Here is an 18,371-nt window from a genome sequence, read left to right on the forward strand (position 1 = left end):
TGCTGCCCCGTGGGGCCTCTGAACAGACCCCAGGGCCTCTGCCAATCATGACTCCTTCCTTTCAGCTGGACCCACAGGCCCTGCAGGACAGAGACTGGCAGCGCGCCGTCATCGCCATGAATGGGGTACGTGTCCGTGGGACTCTCCTGGCGCCCACTTCCCCCAGAAGGATAGGGTGGCCTCTGTTCATTTCAAATCAGTCAGAGGTGGCTGAGCCTGAGGCAGCATCTGAGAGGGAGCCTGGTTGGAGAAGGGAGGGCCCCCAAGAGCAGAATCACCATGCACGGGAATCGTCATTCATTGGCTGGAATGCAGTTGCCAGCCAGGCCCTGAGCATCCCTCCTCAAACAAAGGTCTCATGGCACCACCAGGACAGGTGGGGCCTCCACTCAGGGACCTGGGGGCTGCCCATAGAAATGGAGACCCCTGATTTGTCTTTAGGTACCCCAGAAAGGTTTAGGCCTTAAAAGCAATGACACACCCAAAAAGGCCCGGGTATAAATGGTAAAATGTTAATATTTGAGATTCTTGGCTTTTTCTTACATTATTCTGTCTTTCCTACTTAATTTTTAATTGTTACTAAGAGAAAGCTGGTCACAGTACACTATAATCTCAGCTACTCTGGAGGCTGAACCAGGAGAATCACTGGAGCCCAAGAGTTTGATTACAGCCTGGGCAACATTGCAAGATCCCATATCTTAAAAAAAAGTAAGCAAGCAAGAGAAGCAGCGGGGATTTTAGGAGGTGCTTCTGCAGAAACCAGTCGTTTACATCATCTTCAACAATCCTGGCTCTTGCTGAAGTAGACTAGGGGCTTCCCCGAGGGGCGGCTCCACCTCATGCTGAGACCTCTGCATGCCTTGGGGGTGGAAATATTTGATGAGACTCCCAGGGGTCCTTGGGACCTTGGGCTATGAGGACCAGAAGGATTAGAGGACTGTGCCCCTTCTCCCCACTGTAGATCGAAGTAAAGCTCTCGGTCAAGTTCAACAGCAGGAAGTTCAGCTTGAAGAGGATGCCGTCCCGAAAACAGACAGGGGTCTTCGGAGTCAAGATTGCTGTGGTCACCAAGTGAGTGGGGAGGGGCTTGGGCTCACGCACTGAGGGTGCCTGTCCCTTCAGCTGTTTCTGCAGAAAAGAGCATGTGTGGGTCTCTCCTCTCTGTGCGTGGCCACTGCACGGTGAGGTCAGGCCCCAGGGAACACGGCGTCTTCAGCTACCTCCTGTGTTTCCTGCAAACCAGCTCAGGAATGTCCTTGCCACCTTGCTTGGAAGCAGTAGGCTGGCTCCAGGAACTGCCCAAGTGCAGGGTTTTCTGCCCTTGCTTGGAATTAGTCACGGTCCCAGATTCCTGTTGAATGGTTGTAACCCCTGCCCCTTTGTCACGAGTCAGTTGCCAAGAGAAGCCTGTTTGTTGGTTTGAGAGCAGTTCATGCAGACATAGACCACTTCCTCTGAGAATTCATTTGCCTCCCTAGGATGGAATCTGGCTGGGCCTCTGACCTTGCTGGTCACGTGGGCCGGGGCCTCCATCAGTCATACCCTGGACTCCTATCTGTGTCTAAACACCACGCCCCACCCCCACTCGCATAGCACTCTGGGAGGGCTGTGGGCATGAGCAGCGAGGACTCCATCAGCAGCTCCCCCAGATAAGCCCTGCTAATGAGGGGGCTTGCGAAGCAGCTTTGATGTGCTGGTAAATCCAGGTGCAAAACAGAACTCAAGTTAAGGCCTCCGCACAGCACTGCGTTCTAACTGTGAAGGATTCTTACTCTAGTGTCCTGTGTGGAGGTATTGGAATTGTCCATTGCTAAGACTCAGAGGAGAAAAGCACTTAGCATCGCAGGACTTGGAGCACCGGTGCTGAGGCAACCCTTCATTCATTCGTCGGATGTGTGTTAAGGCCCAGGCCCAGGGCAGGGGTCAGGGATTCTCCTCTCACACAGCACGTGGGTGGCAGGACCAACACCGGGTCTGACCTCCCAGACGGGGGCACAGGCTGCTAACCCCAGGCCTGGAATCTGTCAGATGCCCTTCCCGTGCTGACTTGACTTAGACAGGCCTCCTGACCTTCCCGCAAAGGTCATGTGTGATTCGCAGGGGTTCTGGCCGCTTGAAAGGTTCCTGAGAAAGTACATGCCATGAGGACAGAGCTTGCAGAGGGAGGACAGGCATGCAGAAGGCTCTGTGTGCAGCCCCAGACCTGGGTACCTTCGTCACCGTCCTCACCCCACCTCCGGGTGTGCACATAGGGAGCAGGTCTCCTGTGTTATGGCCCAAGCAGGGCTGTTAGGACACTGAGAACATTCCCTCCTCCCGCAGGAGAGAGAGGTCCAAGGTGCCCTACATCGTGCGCCAGTGTGTGGAGGAGATCGAGCGCCGAGGCATGGAGGAGGTGGGCATCTACCGCATGTCTGGGGTGGCCACGGACATCCAGGCACTGAAGGCAGGCTTCAACGTCAGTGAGTGTCGGCCTGCGCAGGACGGGATGGAGGTGTGGGCAGTGGTGTCCGCGATGAGATCTCAGAGTGCTCCATGGCCCAGGCATGTCACATCCTTCTCTGTGTCTTTTCTTCATTTACTGTTTTATTATTTTAAAAAAAGAGAAAACAAGAGTTGTACAAACAGCTTCTATAGAAGCCAGTTTTTACACCATCGTACCCACTCATGCCACTTGGTGGAGTGGACCAGGGGCTTCTGTGGGGACTTGGCCTTCCTGCCTTGGGGGTGGACAGGAGGTGGAAGCCCAGGACTCAGTGCGGTCTGTCCACTGCCCTGTATGAGGATGTGGTGGGCAGAGGGCACTGATGAAATTCAGCGCAGGCCGGGGCTGCAGCATCTCCGCCTCCATCTCACCAACCCTCACAGGCTTTGAAGGACCCAGACTGGCCTCAAATGCCAGGGGAGGGCACTGAGACCCCAGAGGGTCCCTCCCAGCATCTTCAAAGCAACAGGATTTTGTGCCTGCAGGCCCTTCTTTGCAGCACACACCACCCACCCTGACCAGGACCCCTAGAATGCCCAGCATCCCTGGGAGGGCCCTGTGGTAGTTTCAGCTCCCTCTGGGGGCCCAGAATGAACCTGGCCTGTGGTGAGGATGTAAGCACCAATGGCCAATTGGGTCCAAAGGAAGACACCGGTTCAAACACTGAAACCAATCAGATTCTCCCACGGCCTTCCTGCTATCAGACGACACTGGTGCAGGGGTGGTTGCTATGTACAGGGCAGAGCCACCCAATCCCCACGCAGGCGCTGTGTCCTGCCATGCTGGCCTCCTCCTGGCCATCACATCAGGCCAAGCAGGGGAGAGGAATGGGAATGCCCACGCACCCCTATCAACTCTGCAGACACAGAACCATGCACAGCTCTTGGGAGGAGTCAGATGAGCTGCTCAAAGCCCAGGAGGGACCCGCACAGTGGTCAGTGTGGCAGGGACGGTGCTTTAGCCAAGGCAGGGATGGCGGGTGACTCACTCAGGATCTTCAAGGAGGCCGCTGCATTTCCATGCTCTTTCCAGATAACAAGGACGTGTCGGTGATGATGAGCGAGATGGACGTGAACGCCATCGCAGGCATGCTGAAGCTGTACTTCCGTGAGCTGCCCGAGCCCCTTTTCACTGACGAGTTCTACCCCAACTTCACAGAGGGCATCGGTGAGCACTGGAGGCCTTGGCCTCGTGGGAGATGTCTCCCCCATGTGCACTGCTGCCCTCGGAGGCTGTGAAAAGCGAGGTGTGGGAACCTGAGTTGTAACCCCTCTGCCATGGTCGGCATTTTAACCCAACCTCAAAAAGCAGGGGACCAGAACCGAGCCTGTCCTGGAAGGCCTTGCCCATCCCCAGAGGGCTCCCCATCCCTATTCCTCAAGGAGGCCAAGTGGGTGAAATGGTCAGCACTGCCGTGCTGTGGGGTCCTAAAGTCTGCTGTCCTCCTTCCTGCAGACCAGGGCTAAACACTGGTGCCCAGGTGCTCTTGCCATGGGTCCTGGTCCAGCCAAGCATGGTTTCAAACATGACCTGACCCTTAGTCAACCTGGAGGCTGATGTCTAGAGTGGGCGCTGGAGCGTGCAGCACCTGTGGCCTCTGCATCACCCTTAGGGCAGGTCTGCCTCCCGGGCCCATGCACAGAGGACCTGGTCTCCCAGCCTGCAGGTGCCCCTGTGGTGTCCAGGACGACGAGGGGGTCTCTGCGTACTTGGTGGGGCTGGGACCCTCCCACTTCCCACCTCCTTGTGTCCCTCACTCCGCTGTTTCATTCCATGCTGAGCCTCCCCTGCCTTGGGCTCCCTGGGGAGGGGGTGGTGGCAGGAGTTGCCCAAGGGCTGCTCTGCCCATGAGCAGCTGCTCTAGCGGCTCCTCCTGCTGCTGTTCGCCAGGTGCTGCTGACCCCTGCGAGGTAGAGAAAAGGCGTTCAGGTGGTTCACACCCCACACAGGTGCCCCTCACAGGGTCCTCACTGGCGGCCAGCGCTGTGGGTGTGACGATGATGACAAGCCTAAACTGCGCAAGGACTCGTGTCCCGGGCGCTCCATGTGACCACCTCGGGAGAGGTCTCCGGCTTGTCGTAACCCAGGGGAGTGACCCACTGCCTCCTGCAGCTCTTTCAGACCCAGTTGCAAAGAAGAGCTGCATGCTCAACCTGCTGTCGTCCCTGCCGGAGGCCAACCTGCTCACCTTCCTTTTCCTTCTAGACCACCTGGAAAGGTAGCCCAGCTCTCTTGTGGCTGCCCAGGACTCCAGGTCTCCAGGCCGTTGGGGTGCCCCTCTGCTCCCACCAGACCCCCAGCACCAAGGACCTTTTCCCCCGACCCCTGTCTGCAGTAACTCACTGCTTCTAAGGACTAGCACCACTGCCACCCCTGCCCCTGCCTCTCCTCTTTGCCACCCGCCTCCCTCTGCACTGTGGCCTTAACAAAGAGCTCAGAGCTTTGGCCGTGGCCAGCAGTGCATTTGGACCGCCCCCACTTCCCTCCCAAGCACATCATGAAGACCTCCCCATCAGCCCAGAGCTGGCCCCTTGTCCCGGGCCACTGAGACCCAGAAGTACCAAGGCTGGAGTCAGCTTGCAGCACAGCCAGGGTCGAGGTCACTCCCTCCCTGAGGACTCTAGCATGGCACAGCCCCTCTGCCTCTCTCCTGGTGGTGGCGTTGAAACAGCACCCTCTGCTTCGGTCCTCTACAGGGTGGCAGAGAAGGAGGCAGTCAATAAGATGTCCCTGCACAACCTTGGCACGGTGTTTGGCCCCACGCTGCTCTGGCCCTCCGAGAAGGAGAGCAAGCTCCCTGCCAACCCCAGCCAGCCCATCACCATGACTGACAGCAGGTCCTTGGAGGTCATGTCCCAGGTATGGGAAGACAGCCTCCAGCCCATGCAACCCCAGCCTGACAGAGGTGGCCTCTGCCTGCCCCACCCCCAGTCCTGCCCATCTTCCCACTTGCATTGTATGTGGTGGTGGCTGAGATTCAGAGAGAGGGACTTGCCTAGGTTTGCATGGATGGGAGTGATAGGGGGTGCCCAGGCCACCTCCTGGTCCTGCTGGTGCATCTTGCTGGGGGCTTAAAACCACCCCAAGTGTTCAGGTGTGGTGGCTCATGCCTGTAATCCCAGCACTTTGGGAGGCCAAGGCAGGACAACCGAACCCAGGTGTTTGAGATCAGTCTGGGCAATGCAGCAAACCCCATCTCCAGAAAAAATAGAAAGAAAAATTAGTCAGGCATTGTGGCACACATCTGTAATCCTAGGTATCTGGGAGGCTGACACAGGAGGATTGCTTGAGCCCAGGAGTTAGAGGCTGCAGTGATCCATGATGGAGCCACTGTACTCCAGCCTGGGGGACAGAGCAAGGCCCTGTGCATCTCTAAAATAAATAACCACCCCCCACCCAACAAGTCATGCCTTGTCAGGACCCCACCCCACCCCCGTCTCACTGTAAGGGGTTCATGACACCAGCAGGGGTTTCTAGCACCTGAGGTGGACTTGGGGGCTTGGGCCCCAAAGACCTCCCCACCAGCAGCTGTGAGCCCCCCTCTGAGCCACTCTCCTCTTCCCCACTCTGCGAGGGCAGGTCGAGGTGCTGCTGTACTTCTTGCGGCTGGAGGCCATCCCTGCCCTGGACAGCAAGAGACAGAGCATCCTGTTCTCCACCGATGTCTAAAGGTCCCAGTCCATCTCCTGGAGGCGGACAGATGGCCTGGAAACCTCTGGCTAATCGGGCCATCTGTAGAGTGGGAATCAAGATTTTCTGAGGCATCCTTGGGCCACCCCCAGGTGTCAGGCCATCTGCCAAGAGACAGTGGCCCAAAGCAGAAGGACAGGTGGCCTGGGCAGATCCCGCCCAGGTCTGAAAGCCCCAGGCTGGCCTCAGACTGTGGGTTTTTTATGTGGCCACCCGAGGGCGCCCCAAGCCAGTTCATCTTGGAGTCCAGGCCTGGCCCTGGGAGACAGGGTGAAAGCAGTGGTTTTTATGAACTTAACTTATAGAGTCTAAAAGATTTCTACTGAATCACTTGTCAAGAAGCGCCCTCTCTGGGGAGAAGGGAACGTGACCGGATTCCCTCACTGTTGTATCTTGAATAAATGCTGCTGCTTCATCCTGTGGGGGCCGTGGCCCTGTCCCTGTGTGGGTGGGGCCTCTTCCATTTCCCTGACTTAGAAACCACACTCCACTTAGAACAGGGTTTGAGAGGCTTAGTCAGCACTGGGTAGCGTTTTGACTCCATTCTTGGCTTGCTTCTTTTTCTTTCCAGAAGGATTTTTGTGCAGAAATGGGTCTTTTGTTGCCGTGTTAGTCCTCCTTGGAAAGCAGCTCAGAAGGCCCGTGAAATGTCGGGGGACAGGACCCCCAGGGAGGGAATCCCAGGCTACGCACCTTAGGGTTCGTTCTCCAGGGAGAGCGACCTCGTCCCCCGATCCTGACCGCCCTTCCGGCCCACGCTCTCCTGTTTGGCTTCCACAGGCCTGGACTTCTCTGGCTTCTCTGCCCACACACTCCCTGCCCCCAGTGTCCCTGCCCCTGCCCCAGCACAGGTGACTTCATTTCTGTCCTCTCAGCTCAGTGGACTCGCTCAACTTTTGTATAAGTCTCCACTTGGTGGTAGCAGCTTGCTGATGACTTGTTTTAAAACTTTCATCCTAAATAACCTTTTGATGCTTGAATATTTTTAAGTTTTATACATAGTTTCTAATTTTTTTCCCAGCAGATCCAGATACCTAATAAGATGCTGGAATGTAATCCCTGGACAATCCGTGTCCTGGCAGCATTTGGTCTTCCTCTAAGCGCCTGGCTCCGCTGTTCTCAGGAGTGGGTTCTGAAGTCTCTGGAGAACAGGATACGTGGAGGGTTAGGAAGGGGCCAGGCCTAGAGACGGGAGACTCCCTCCCGGAGCAGGTGGAGGCACAGGACCATTCGCTACCCCATCTGCCGGCACCTGCGGGGGAGCCCAGGCATTCTTTGTAAGCCCTCCTGACCACCTGGCTCAAAGAAAACAGAAGCATGGAGGCCGCCAAGTATTTTCAAGAAATAACCCCATGAATATTCCATCACTTTTTTAGAAAGAGGGGCTTGGGGCAGGCAGAGGAGAGAAGGGAGAGCAAACTGAGAGCCAAGTTTCCAGACAGTCCTGCAGGAGGAGAGGATGCAGCTCCCCAGAGGGAAGCAGGATCACATTTAAGGAAGTGTGTGGGGTCCCTGGATGACACCAGCACCCAGTGCGGCTCTGTCTGGCAACCGCTCCCAAGGTGGCAGGAGTGGGTGTCCCCTGTGTGTCAGTGGGCAGCTCCTGCTGAACCCGCAGCTCACTGGGGAGCCTGACAGTGGGGCCATGCGCCTGACACTCCTCTCTGCTTGTGGACCTGGCAAGGCAGGGAGCAGAAAACAGAGCCCCTTGAAGGCTTCCTGTCTGCGTCTGTGTGCAGTGTGGATTTAGTTGTGCTTTTTACTTGCTGGGAGAGCACAGCCACCATTTACAAGCAGTGTCACCCTCGTGGGTGGCGAGGACAGAACAGGAGCCTCTGCTCTCTGTACCTATCTGGGCCCGGTGGGCTCCCTTGTCCTGGCTTCCATCTCTGTCTCAGCGACCATTCAGCCCTGCGCAGGAACACATGTTGCTTAGAAAAGCCAAATCCAGCCTTGTCTCTGCCTCCTCTGGTCTCATGATGTGCATCTGTTACCTTGAAACTGGAAACCAGTCTATCAATGTCTGTGCCAATTTTTTATTCCCTCCCCAACCTCCTTCCCCATAGGACTTTTTATTTATGTAGGATGTGTGCTGTCTAATGATGGGATGACCACACTTTTCCATGTTCTAAAAGTGCTCCTCTCCCGCAGGGTCCCAGGGCTGGTGGTTGCTTTGGGTCTACAGCTACGTCTTACCCGCCTCCTGCCTCAACAGCCTGTGTGGTGGCAAAGCCGGTGTGGGGCTGGGGAACGCAGCGTTCTCCAGGAGGGGGACCCGGCTCTCCTTCTGCAGTGCAGGCAAAGGCCTAGATGCCAGTGTGACCTCCCACAAGGCGTGGCTTCCAGACTCCCCGGCCGGAAGTGATCCTTTTTTGCCGCGGGCCCTGAGTTTGAAGCAGCCTGGCTTTCTCTTGGTAAGTGGCTGGTGTCTTAGCAGCTGCAATCTGAGCTCAGCCACCTACACACCACCGTGGCCGACACTTTCATTAAAAAGTTTCCTGAGACGACTTGCGTGCATGTTGACTTCATGATCAGCGCCGCTGGGAAGAACCCCTGAGCCGGTGGGGTGGGGCTGGAAGCAGCAGGTGCAGTGATGGGGCTGGGTGCCCAGGAGGCCTCAGTGCTCAATCAGGCCAAGGTGGCCAAGCCCAGGCTGCAGGGAAGGCCGGCCTGGGGGGTGTGGGTGAGCACAGGCAGGCACCAGCTGGGCAGTGTTAGGATGCTGGAGCAGCATCCGTAACCCCACTGAGTGGGGTAGTCTGGTTGGGGCAGGGACCGCTGTTGCTTTGGCAGAGAGAGATGATCCCCACTGGGGAGAGGCTGTTCTGACTCTGCAGGTGGGACAGGGACAGATGGCCACCAGGGTGACCCGGCTGGTCTTCCTTTGCTATGCTAAGCCCTGGGACGTGGAGGATTCCTGCCACACAGCCTGGGCCCGGTTTCTTACCTGTGGCCACCGCTCTGGCACGAGCCCCTCAGTCTTGGGTGGTTTCTGCCTGGTCCGGGATTTGGTGTTCCTGCTGAGTCCAGCCTTTCTGCCACCTCCGCATGGGCCGTGGGTGGTGTTGTCAGCTGCCTCCCACCTTGGCTTCAGTAGCTCACCCAGCTCACAGGGGAGCTGCCCTGGGCTGGAGATGGGCATGCACCCTGGGTCCTACTTGAATGAATGCAGCTTGAGGAGAGCCGGCCATATACACTGGGCCACAGGTTACCCTCGGCAATGCCCACATCAGCCGTCAGCCTGAGCCTCCCCAGGAGAGCAAGGCTCACACGACAAAGGCTGCCCGTGGCCAATGAGGTGGCTGAGCCCAGCCAGGACCTTTCTCGGACTCCCGGGATGTGGCTCTGCTCGTGAGCTGCCTGGTCAGCTCTCTCGGGGTGAGAGGGGCTTGTCACACGGGCCCCTGCCTGCAGTGTGACCCTTCTCAGCTTCTCTCAGCAGCCCTGCCTGCGGAGTGTCACCGCCACCATGATCATTTCCCTGACACTGCGAGGGTGTGGGGACGTCCTGGGTAGAGACAGGGCCCGTGGCAGCAGCAGGCTCAGGGGCGCCCTACACTGGTGGGCTGGGGACCTGGTGGAGACCACGCCAAGGGCTGGACAAGGGGACGAGCCTCCACCCTGGCCTCTCCGCAGGCCTCAGCAGCCCCTCCCACAGGCAGAAGGGTTGACACTGGGTTCTGCCCTCACTGCAAGAGCTGCAAGTGCCACGTGCTGTTCTGCCCAATCTGGTGTCTGCAGGTGAGGAAAGGGCTGCCGCTGGCCCGTTTCTGAGTGTTCAGCACCTAAGGATGACAGCACTGTCTGTCCCTACCCTCCGGGTCCTGTTTGAAAATCAAACCCATGCTCACAGGCCAATTTTTTTTTCTTTTAGAGACAGGGTCTCACTTTGTCACCCAAGCTGGAGTGCAGTGGTGCGATTATAGCTCAATGCAGCCTCCAATTCCCGGACTCAAGGGACCTTCCTGCCTCAGCCTGCCAAGTAGCTTGGACTATAGCTGTGTGTTTTCTTATTATTTTGTAGACATGGGGTCTGGCTATGTTGTCCAGGCTATTCTCAAAATTCCCGGCCTCAAGCAATCCTCCCGCCTCGGCCTCTCAAAGGTTGGGATTACAGGTGTGAGGCAAGGCACCCAGCTCAGCCACAGAGCCCTATTGCATCTCTCTTACTAGGAGCAAGAGCTGACTGCCCCCTCATCCCCATTCCAGAGTGTTGGGGCTGTGTTCAGCCGAGGCCGGGCCACTGGCATGGCCCAGGGAGCGGGATCATTCACTGCTGCCCCAAATCTGAGATCATTCCACCTTGACAAGACTTCCTCATCCAATCCCTTTACTTGACAGCTGGGGAAACCAATGCGCACAGAGCACCCCCAGCTCACTCGGGGTCTCAGAGCTGATCCATGAGCGGAGGCTGAGATCCTGGGATCTTGTCCCCCAGCCTCCCTGCAACCTTAATCCCTTTCTGCTGAAAGAGATGGGGCCGGACCTCGACCAGCAGCCCTGGCCTGGACATGACTGTGCTCATGCAGGTATTGAGGCCGAGATGCCCCGGCATCATATGTTTTTCTATTTTCTTTTTTTTTTTTTTGAGACGGTGTCTCACTCTGTCACCCAAGCTGGAGTGCAGTGGCATGATATTGGCTCACTGCAACCTCTGCCTCCCGGTTAAAGTGATTCTCCTGCCTCAGCCTTCCAAGTAGCTGGGCCTACAGGCTTGTACCACCACACCTGACTAATTTGTGCATTTTTACTAGAGACGGGGTTTCCCCATGTTGGCCAGGCTCGTGTCGAACTCCTGACCTCAAGTGATCCACCTGCCTTGGCCTCCCAAAGTGCCAGGATTACAGGCATGAGCCATGGCGTCACTTAAATGTAGTGAGAGGCCGGGCACAGTGGCTCATGCCTGTAATCCCAGTACTTTGAGAGGACGAGGCTGTCAGATCACCTAAGGTCAGGAGTTCGAGACCAGCCTGGCCAACATGGTGAAACCGTGTCTCTAAAAAAAAATAGAAAAAAATAGCCCTGCATGGTGGTGAGTACCTGTAGTCCCAGTTACTCAGGAGGCTGAGGCATGAGAATCGCTTAAACCTCGGAGGCGGAGGCTGCAGTGAGCTGAGATGGCGCCACTGCACTCCAGCCTGGGTGACAGAGCAAGACTTTGTCTCTAAATAATTAAATAAATAAATATGGCTGAGCATGGTGCCTTAGGCCTGTAATCCCAACACTTTGGGAGGCTGAGGCAGGTGGTTCATGAGGTCAGGAGCCCGAGACCAGCCTGGCCAAGATGGTGAAACACTGTCTCTACTAAAAATACAAAAATTAGCCAGCTGTGGTGGCAGGCACCTGTAATCCCAGCTACTTGGGACACTGAGGCAGGAGAATCACTTGAAACTGGAAGTCAGAGGTTGCAGGGAGCCGAGATTGCACCACTGCACTCTAGCCTGGGCGATGGAGAAAGACTCCATCTCAAATAAATAAATTAATAAATACAGAGCAAGATTCCATCTTAAATAAATAAATAAATAAACATACACCTGTAATCCTAGCAGTTCGGGAGGCTAAGACAGGTCGATCACCTGAGGTCAGGAGTTCGAGACCAGCCTGACCAATATGGCAAAACTCCATCTCTACTAAAAATACAAAAATTAGCCAGGCGTTTTGATGTGTGCCTGTAGTCCCAGCTACTTGGGAGGCTGAGACAGGAGAATTGCTTGAACCCAAGAGGTGGAGGTTGCAGTGAGCCGAGATCTCGGCTGCACTTCAGCCTGGGTGACAGAGTGAGACTGTCTCAAAAGGAATAAAAAAAATACAAAATAAAAAAAATGTAGTAAGATGGCAGAGTCGTGCCGCGGAAGCGTGCTGGTCCTATCCATGTAGTGAAGGCTGATTTCATACAGAAATGTCACAAGAACTTTTTTTCTTTTTCTTTTTTTTTGAGACGGAGTCTCGCTCTGTCACCCAGGCTGGAGTGCAGTGGCGCGATCTCAGCTCACTGCAAGCTCTGCCTCCCGGGTTTATGCCGTTCTCCTGCCTCAGCCTCCCAAGTAGCTGGGACTACAGGCCTGTGCAGCAGATGCAGGGGGGCCACTAGGCCCAGGCAGTCTTGGGACTTGTGTGTCTCCTGCTGTGCATCCATACTGGGTGCTTTAGAAACGGCAGGCAGACCAGAAGCCCCTGTTGCAAGTGAGGACAAAGTGTGGGAAGGCCGTGAGGGTCTGCAGTCCGAGATGGCCTGGTCCTCAACCTGCAGTGCACTGTTGATGCACTGGAATGCCGCCTCCTTCTCCCAGTCCAGGTCTTCAGCAGTGACCCGGTACCCCAGCTCTAAGGGAGGTGGCAGCATCAAAGGCTCCCCTCGCCTGCGTGGCAGCAGGGGAAACTTGCATCTACGGGGCCTAGAGGCCTGGGATATGGGGGAGCCACCCCTGGGAGCGAGTGTCTGCCCTGGTGCTGTATCTGCCGTCTTTTCACACTGGGTGTGACCCGAAGAGACAGCCTGAGGTCCGTCCTCACTCACTGTGTTTGAGGAACTGAGGGTCAGCTGGCAGTGGGATGAGGCTGGCCCCTCTTCCACTTTCGTTCCGGGAGGCCTCCCGTAGAGCTGTAGGGGCTCGAGATGGCATTTCATTTGGGGCACGAGCTGGTCCGGGAGGTCTGCGATCTCTGGTTCTGACCTCTGGGCACCTGCTGCAGCTGTGGCTGAGGCCCAGAAATGTGAAGGGCCTCCATCCACTCCAGTAGTGACCCCAACGTGGGGTTCAATGCGGAGGGGGGAGGGGCTGCTGCGGCAGCTGCAGGAGCAGAAGTGCCACGCCTTGTTCTTCTCATGCCCGCATCCATGCTTGCAGCTGGGAAGGGGGCAGGAATCAGCGAGGTGACCTGGGCTGAGTCCTGGGAATGGGAAGAGGTGGCAGGAAGGGGATCTGAGGAGGAGAACAGGGGGCCTGGTGGTCTGTGCTTCTTCCCAGACATGGGAGCTGTAGAGGGGACCTCTGCAGCAGATGCTAAGGGGGCCAGTAGGCCCAGGCAGTCTTGGGACTTGTGTGTCTCCTGCTGTGCATCCATACTGGGTGCTTTAGAAACGGCAGGCAGACCAGAAGCCCCTGTTGCAAGTGAGGACAAAGTGTGGGAAGGCCGTGAGGGTCTGCAGTCCGAGATGGCCTTGTCCTCAACTTGCAGTGCACTGTTGATGCGCTGGAATGCCGCCTCCTTCTCCCGGTCAAGGTCTTCAACAGTGACCCGGTACCCCAGCTCTAAGGGAGGTGGCAGCATCAAAGGCTCCCCTCGCCTGCATGGCAGCAGGGGAAACTTGTGTGTACTGGGCCTAGAGGCCTCGGATGTGGAGGAGTCATTCCTGAGGGTGAGTGTCTGCCCTGGTGCTATATCTGCTGCCTTTTCACACTGGGTGTGACCTGAAGAGACAGCCTGAGGCCTGTCCTCACTCACTGTCTTTGAGGAACTGAGGGTCAGCTGGCAGTGGGATGAGGCTGGCCCCCTCCTCCGCTTTAGCCCCGGCAAGCCTCCCGTGGAGCTGTAGGAGCTGGAGATGGCATTTCGGTTGGTGCAGGAGCTCGTCCAGGAGGTCTGGGATGTCTGGTTATATCTGATTTCTGACCTCTGGGCATGGAGGTCTGTCTGCAGAGGCCCGGGCCCGGGCACAAAGGGAGAGAGGCCTCCATTGTCCCGCAGGGGCCGAAATGCAGACGGTGCATCCCCGGTGACCTCCGGGACCCTTCTCTGATCACCAGGATTCTCTTGGACTCTAGGGTCCTTGTCCTGCTCAGGCATCCCTGCCCCGCTCTCCTTGAGGGCCCTCAACACTATCTTCCCTGGACACAAGTCTGGGGACAGCCGGGTGTTGTGGACCCCAAAGGGGTGACTCCCGGCTCCTGGGCCCCACAGAGAGTCCATGTTCTCAGTGCAGTGGCTGAGCTGGAGGACGCCCTGGAACTCGGAGCACACAGCACTGGCTTGCTGTGGTACCTGTGCAATCAAATTGAAGGCAGGATCCCAGGAAGGAACGCAGCGCTTGCAGGATCACCGAAAACCTTCTTAGAGTTGTCTTGACACCACTGATGTCAAGTGTCTGGGTACTTGTAGGATGGCCTGCCACTCAGTGCACGGGCAGGAGCAACGGGGAGATCCCACAGGCAAAGTGAACTGGGGGATGGGCTGAACGGGCTCCAGGCAACTGAGCCCTACTGGCAGGTCCTCGGCCTGGGCCCGAACAGGAAGGAGGGGCACAGAGTGCCCAGGTAACCGCTCCTGGGAGCAGTGGGGAACCGTCGGTTGCTTGAACTCTCGAGAGCTGGGCTCTGAGCGTCCTCGTCCAGCCGCCAACTCGGCCAACGGCTAAGCCAGCAGTTTCTTCTGTTGCCGGGCAACGCGCCTTTTAAACCTGAGGGAGCGGGCGCGTGAGCACATCACGGCGCCCGTGACAGAGCGAGCTTAACGGATTAATAAGCGCAGCCAGGTACCCGCGCGAGGCACTTGCTGGCAATGGCGGGAGGCGGACGTGGGGGGTCATGCAATAGGTACTGGAAGGAGAGAGGCGGGCACAAAGGTCGCGGGAGGAACAGGTGCCCACAATGGCGGCAGATCTGCCCGTGGATCACTGAAGATTCCTGCTCTCCTGCTGAGGTGGAGATTGCAGTGAGCTGAGATCGCACCATTGCACTCCAGCCTGGGCAACAGAGTCAGACTCTCTCTTTTTTTTTTTTTTTTTTTTTTTTTTGAGATGGAGTCTCCCTCTGTCGCCCAGGCTGGATTCCAGTGGCCTGATCTCTGGGCTCACCGCAAGCTCCGCCTACCGGGTTCACGCCATTCTCCTGCCTCAGCCTCTGGAGTAGTTGGGACTACAGGCGCCCGCCACCACACCCGGCTAATTTTTTGTATTTTTAGTAGAGACGGGGTTTCACCGTGTTAGCCAGGATGATCTCCATCTCCTGACGTCATGATCCGCCCTCCCAAAGTGCTGGCATTACAGGCCTCGGCCTCCCAAAGTGCTGGGATTACAGGCGTGAGCCACCGCGCCCGGTGTTGAAACTCCCTTGAGGCATTTTCTTCGGCCTTCGGGTCCATCCTCTGTCTCCTCCTTGACCTCCTCATCTCCTCCTCGCCACTGCCTTGGGGACCTTGGCCAGGCTCATGGCATCCAGCAGCCACTCAATGTCAATACCTCCATGTTCATCTCTCAGCCCGCCCTTGCCCGTGAACCCATGCTTATTTATTTATTTTTTTTATACGTGCACCCATGCTCTTCAGGTCTGATGAAGTATCCAAAATCAAGCTCCTGACCATCCTCAAACCTGCCCCTTCTGCAGGGTTTACCTCGCTAGTCGGCGCCATCCTTGATTCTTCTCTTTCTCCCACCCAGGCCATCATCTCTTGCCTGGTTGATACCCACAGCCTCCCCTTTGGGCTTTATCCTTATCCCCGTCATAGCTGCCAGAGGGACCCTGTGAAAACACTCCCCAGCCTGCTCATTCTTCTGCCCTAAGCCTGCATGGCACAGAGCAAAAGCCAGTTGTTATGGGACCTAGGAGGTCCTGTGGGATGGGCCCCAGCCTGCATCTTCATCCTCTTCTCCCCACCCCACTCCATTCACTCTCTGCCTATCGCTCACCAGCCTATACCACCTGCCTCAGGGCCTTTGCACTGACCATTTAGGCCACATTCCAGGCTCTTTTCACACGTTGCCTCCTCTGAGAAGCCCTCCCTGACCACTCTGCCCATACCTCATGCCTCTTGATTCCCCTTACCTGGCTTGTGGTTTCAGCACTTTCCCTGTGTGTGTTTGTTTTTCTTGGCATGAGGGCAGGACCTAAGTGTCTGTTCCCTGTTGATTCCCCAGTTCCAGGCATGCAGTGCAAATTCTAGAAATATTTTTTGCATGAAGGAATGAGTGATTGAATGCAGCAAGGGTCTGGAGGCTGAGGACCAGGCAGACAGACATTCAGAGTTGCTGGAATGCGACAGAGACAGGGAGTCAGACTGGTCATGCAAGATCCTGGGCCTGCCCTTGGGTCCTGGGGAGCCACGGAAGGTTGTGGGTGCCAGAGGGTTGTGGTCAGAGCCACAGTCAGGGGCCTTCTGAGACCTGTGTCCCCTCCCCACCCTCCCTCCCCACCTCCTCAGGCCAGCTCTGGGGTCTCGGCAGGTGGTCCACAACATGACCTCTGAGTTCTTCGCTGCCCAGCTCCGGGCCCAGATCTCTGACGACACCACTCACCCGATCTCCTACTACAAGCCCGAGTTCTACACGCCGGTTGATGGGGGCACTGCTCACCTGTCTGTCGTCGCAGAGGACGGCAGTGCTGTGTCCGCCACCAGCACCATCAACCTCTAGTAGGGGCTGCTGGGCCGCCTGGGTGGGAAAGGGCCAGGGGCGGGTGGCCCAGGGACTGCCCACTTATCCAGTAAGGTGGCTCCATCACCTCTTTTCCTGGTGGGAAACTGAGGCCCAACCTTGGTAGCTTATCCTGGGCCTCTCAGTGAGTATGTTTGAGCCTCAGTGGGTGGATAGGGACCAGGCTGGGCCAGGCAAGGTCAGGTGCTGTCTGACCTGGCTGGGCGGTAGCTTTGGCTCCAAGGTCCGCTCCCCGGTCAGCGAGATCCTGTTCAATGATGAAATGGATGACTTCAGCTCTCCCAACATCACCAACGAGTTTGGGGTGCCCCCCTCACCTGCCAATTTCATCCAGCCAGGTATGGGGTGGAGGTCTGGGGATGGGGGACTGGGGTGGAGAGGGGCGGGTGTCCTGGGCAGGCAGCTGACGGGCATCCCTGTCTTCTCCCATCGGCCACAGGGAAGCAGCCGCTCTCGTCAATGTGCCCGACGATCATGGTGGGCCAGGACGGCCAGGTCCGGATGGTGGTGGGAGCTGCTGGGGGCACACAGATCACCACAGCCACTGCACTGATATGTGTCACCCCTTTTCTCCCTGGCCGTGCCCACCCTGCACAGCCCCCAAGCCATGCTGATCACACTCCCATGCCCCAGGCCATCATCTACAACCTCTGGTTCGGCTATGACGTGAAGCGGGCCGTGGAGGAGCCCCGGCTGCACAACCAGCTTCTGCCCAACGTCACGACAGTGGAGAGAAACATTGACCAGGTGGGCCGGGGGTTGGAGAAACTGAGTCACGGTGTGGGGCCCCAGGGCATCCTGGGCTGGAGGCCTGGATCATCACAGAGTGGACAATTGTTGGTGTCCTCTCTCTAGTGCCTGGGCCATCTGGAGCCCCTGTGCCATGAGGGCCAAGCCCCCTGCTCCAGTGAGACCCAGCAGGCCCCAACCTGCTCTTCCTGATGACCTGGCCCGAAATGGCACCACCTGGGCTGAGGCCTGTGACCACACAGGTGTGGTTCAGGTGGCATCTGGAGCCCTGCTCAGGCTTCCCCTCTCCTCCCACCCCCAGGCAGTGACTGCAGCCCTGGAGACCCGGCACCATCACACCCAGATCGCGTCCACCTTCATCGCTGTGGTGCAAGCCATCGTCCGCACGGCTGGTGGCTGGGCAGCTGCCTCGGACTCCAGGAAAGGCGGGGAGCCTGCCGGCTACTGAGTGCTCCAGGAGGACAAGGCTGACAAGCAATCCAGGGACAAGATACTCACCAGGACCAGGAAGGGGACTCTGGGGGACTGGCTTCCCCTGTGAGCAGCAGAGCAGCACAATAAATGAGGCCACTGTGCCAGGCTCCAGGTGGCCTCCCTGCCCTGTCTCCCCACTCTCTGGGCCTCAGTGTATTGTGTGTGAAATGGAGCCATCTGACTGGGGAGGAACAGAGAGGTGGGATTCGGAGATCTTCACAATGCGGACACTGGAACTAGCCTCAGCATCTTCAGCATGGGGAGAGCCAGGCACATGGCTGGGGGCCAGGGGAAGGTTCACACCAAGCCCTGCCCCTTTCCACCCTGATCCCTCGGACTTTGGGGCCAGGCCCTCCCTTACTGGGGCTGGGCAGTGACACTACCTAGGATCAGCCACCAGGGGGTGCCACGACCCTGGCACTTTCTTAGGCAGAGGGTGGCCAGCTGATGCTGGGAACCCGGGCGCCTTCTCAGACCCGTAGGCGTCCAGCTCACCCTGCCGATGACACTGGAGGTGAAGCTGAGGTCCGAGGAATGGGGACTGGGCAACAGGCTGGAGGAAAACATCTCGGTCAGAGCCACGCCCCTGGGGGGTTTCCAAGA

The 18,371-nt window shown here is 57.4% G+C and overlaps 1 protein-coding gene, 2 pseudogenes and 1 further gene across 7 annotated transcripts, besides 1 other annotated feature; 3 read left to right on the forward strand and 1 right to left on the reverse strand.

Moving 5' to 3' along the window:
* The window catches only part of IGL (immunoglobulin lambda locus), an 896,838-nt gene that overhangs the window by 603,924 nt on the left and 274,543 nt on the right, over positions 1–18,371 (forward strand).
* On the forward strand, positions 66–6,585 carry BCRP4 (BCR pseudogene 4; annotated as a pseudogene).
* POM121L1P (POM121 transmembrane nucleoporin like 1, pseudogene) lies at positions 1,558–14,542 on the reverse strand (annotated as a pseudogene). The gene is given in 10 exon segments (NR_024591.1): positions 1,558–2,581; positions 3,474–3,717; positions 4,226–4,388; positions 5,047–5,175; positions 5,481–5,681; positions 7,210–7,316; positions 8,024–8,086; positions 8,170–8,176; positions 9,123–9,329; positions 12,693–14,542. The product of NR_024591.1 is annotated as a POM121 transmembrane nucleoporin like 1, pseudogene (transcript).
* Positions 9,050–9,238: a silencer, noted in NCBI's record as "fragment chr22:22981520-22981708 (GRCh37/hg19 assembly coordinates)". NCBI's record gives its function as "represses an EF-1alpha promoter that drives an FKBP-Casp9 reporter gene in an ReSE screen in phorbol 12-myristate 13-acetate-treated (for megakaryocytic differentiation) K562 erythroleukemia cells {active_cell/tissue: K562(+PMA)}" and the evidence as "EXISTENCE:reporter gene assay evidence [ECO:0000049][PMID:32094911]".
* GGTLC2 (gamma-glutamyltransferase light chain 2) lies at positions 14,615–17,899 on the forward strand. Of its 6 annotated transcripts, NM_199127.3 has the most exons (6): positions 14,615–14,709; positions 16,313–16,522; positions 16,755–16,882; positions 16,984–17,039; positions 17,142–17,291; positions 17,596–17,899. In NM_199127.3, exons 2-6 carry the CDS (start codon positions 16,347–16,349, stop codon positions 17,740–17,742), a joined length of 657 nt encoding a protein of 218 aa, NP_954578.2. In that variant the 5' UTR covers positions 14,615–14,709; positions 16,313–16,346; the 3' UTR covers positions 17,743–17,899. The 6 variants fall into 6 exon arrangements, with proteins under 6 accessions (NP_954578.2, NP_001378839.1, NP_001378840.1 ...); NM_001391910.1 differs by having other exon boundaries at positions 16,984–17,291; NM_001391911.1 differs by having other exon boundaries at positions 16,335–16,522; positions 16,984–17,291.

This window comes from Homo sapiens, chromosome 22 (assembly GCF_000001405.40).
Source record: "Homo sapiens chromosome 22, GRCh38.p14 Primary Assembly".
Taxonomy (NCBI): Eukaryota; Metazoa; Chordata; class Mammalia; order Primates; family Hominidae; genus Homo; species Homo sapiens.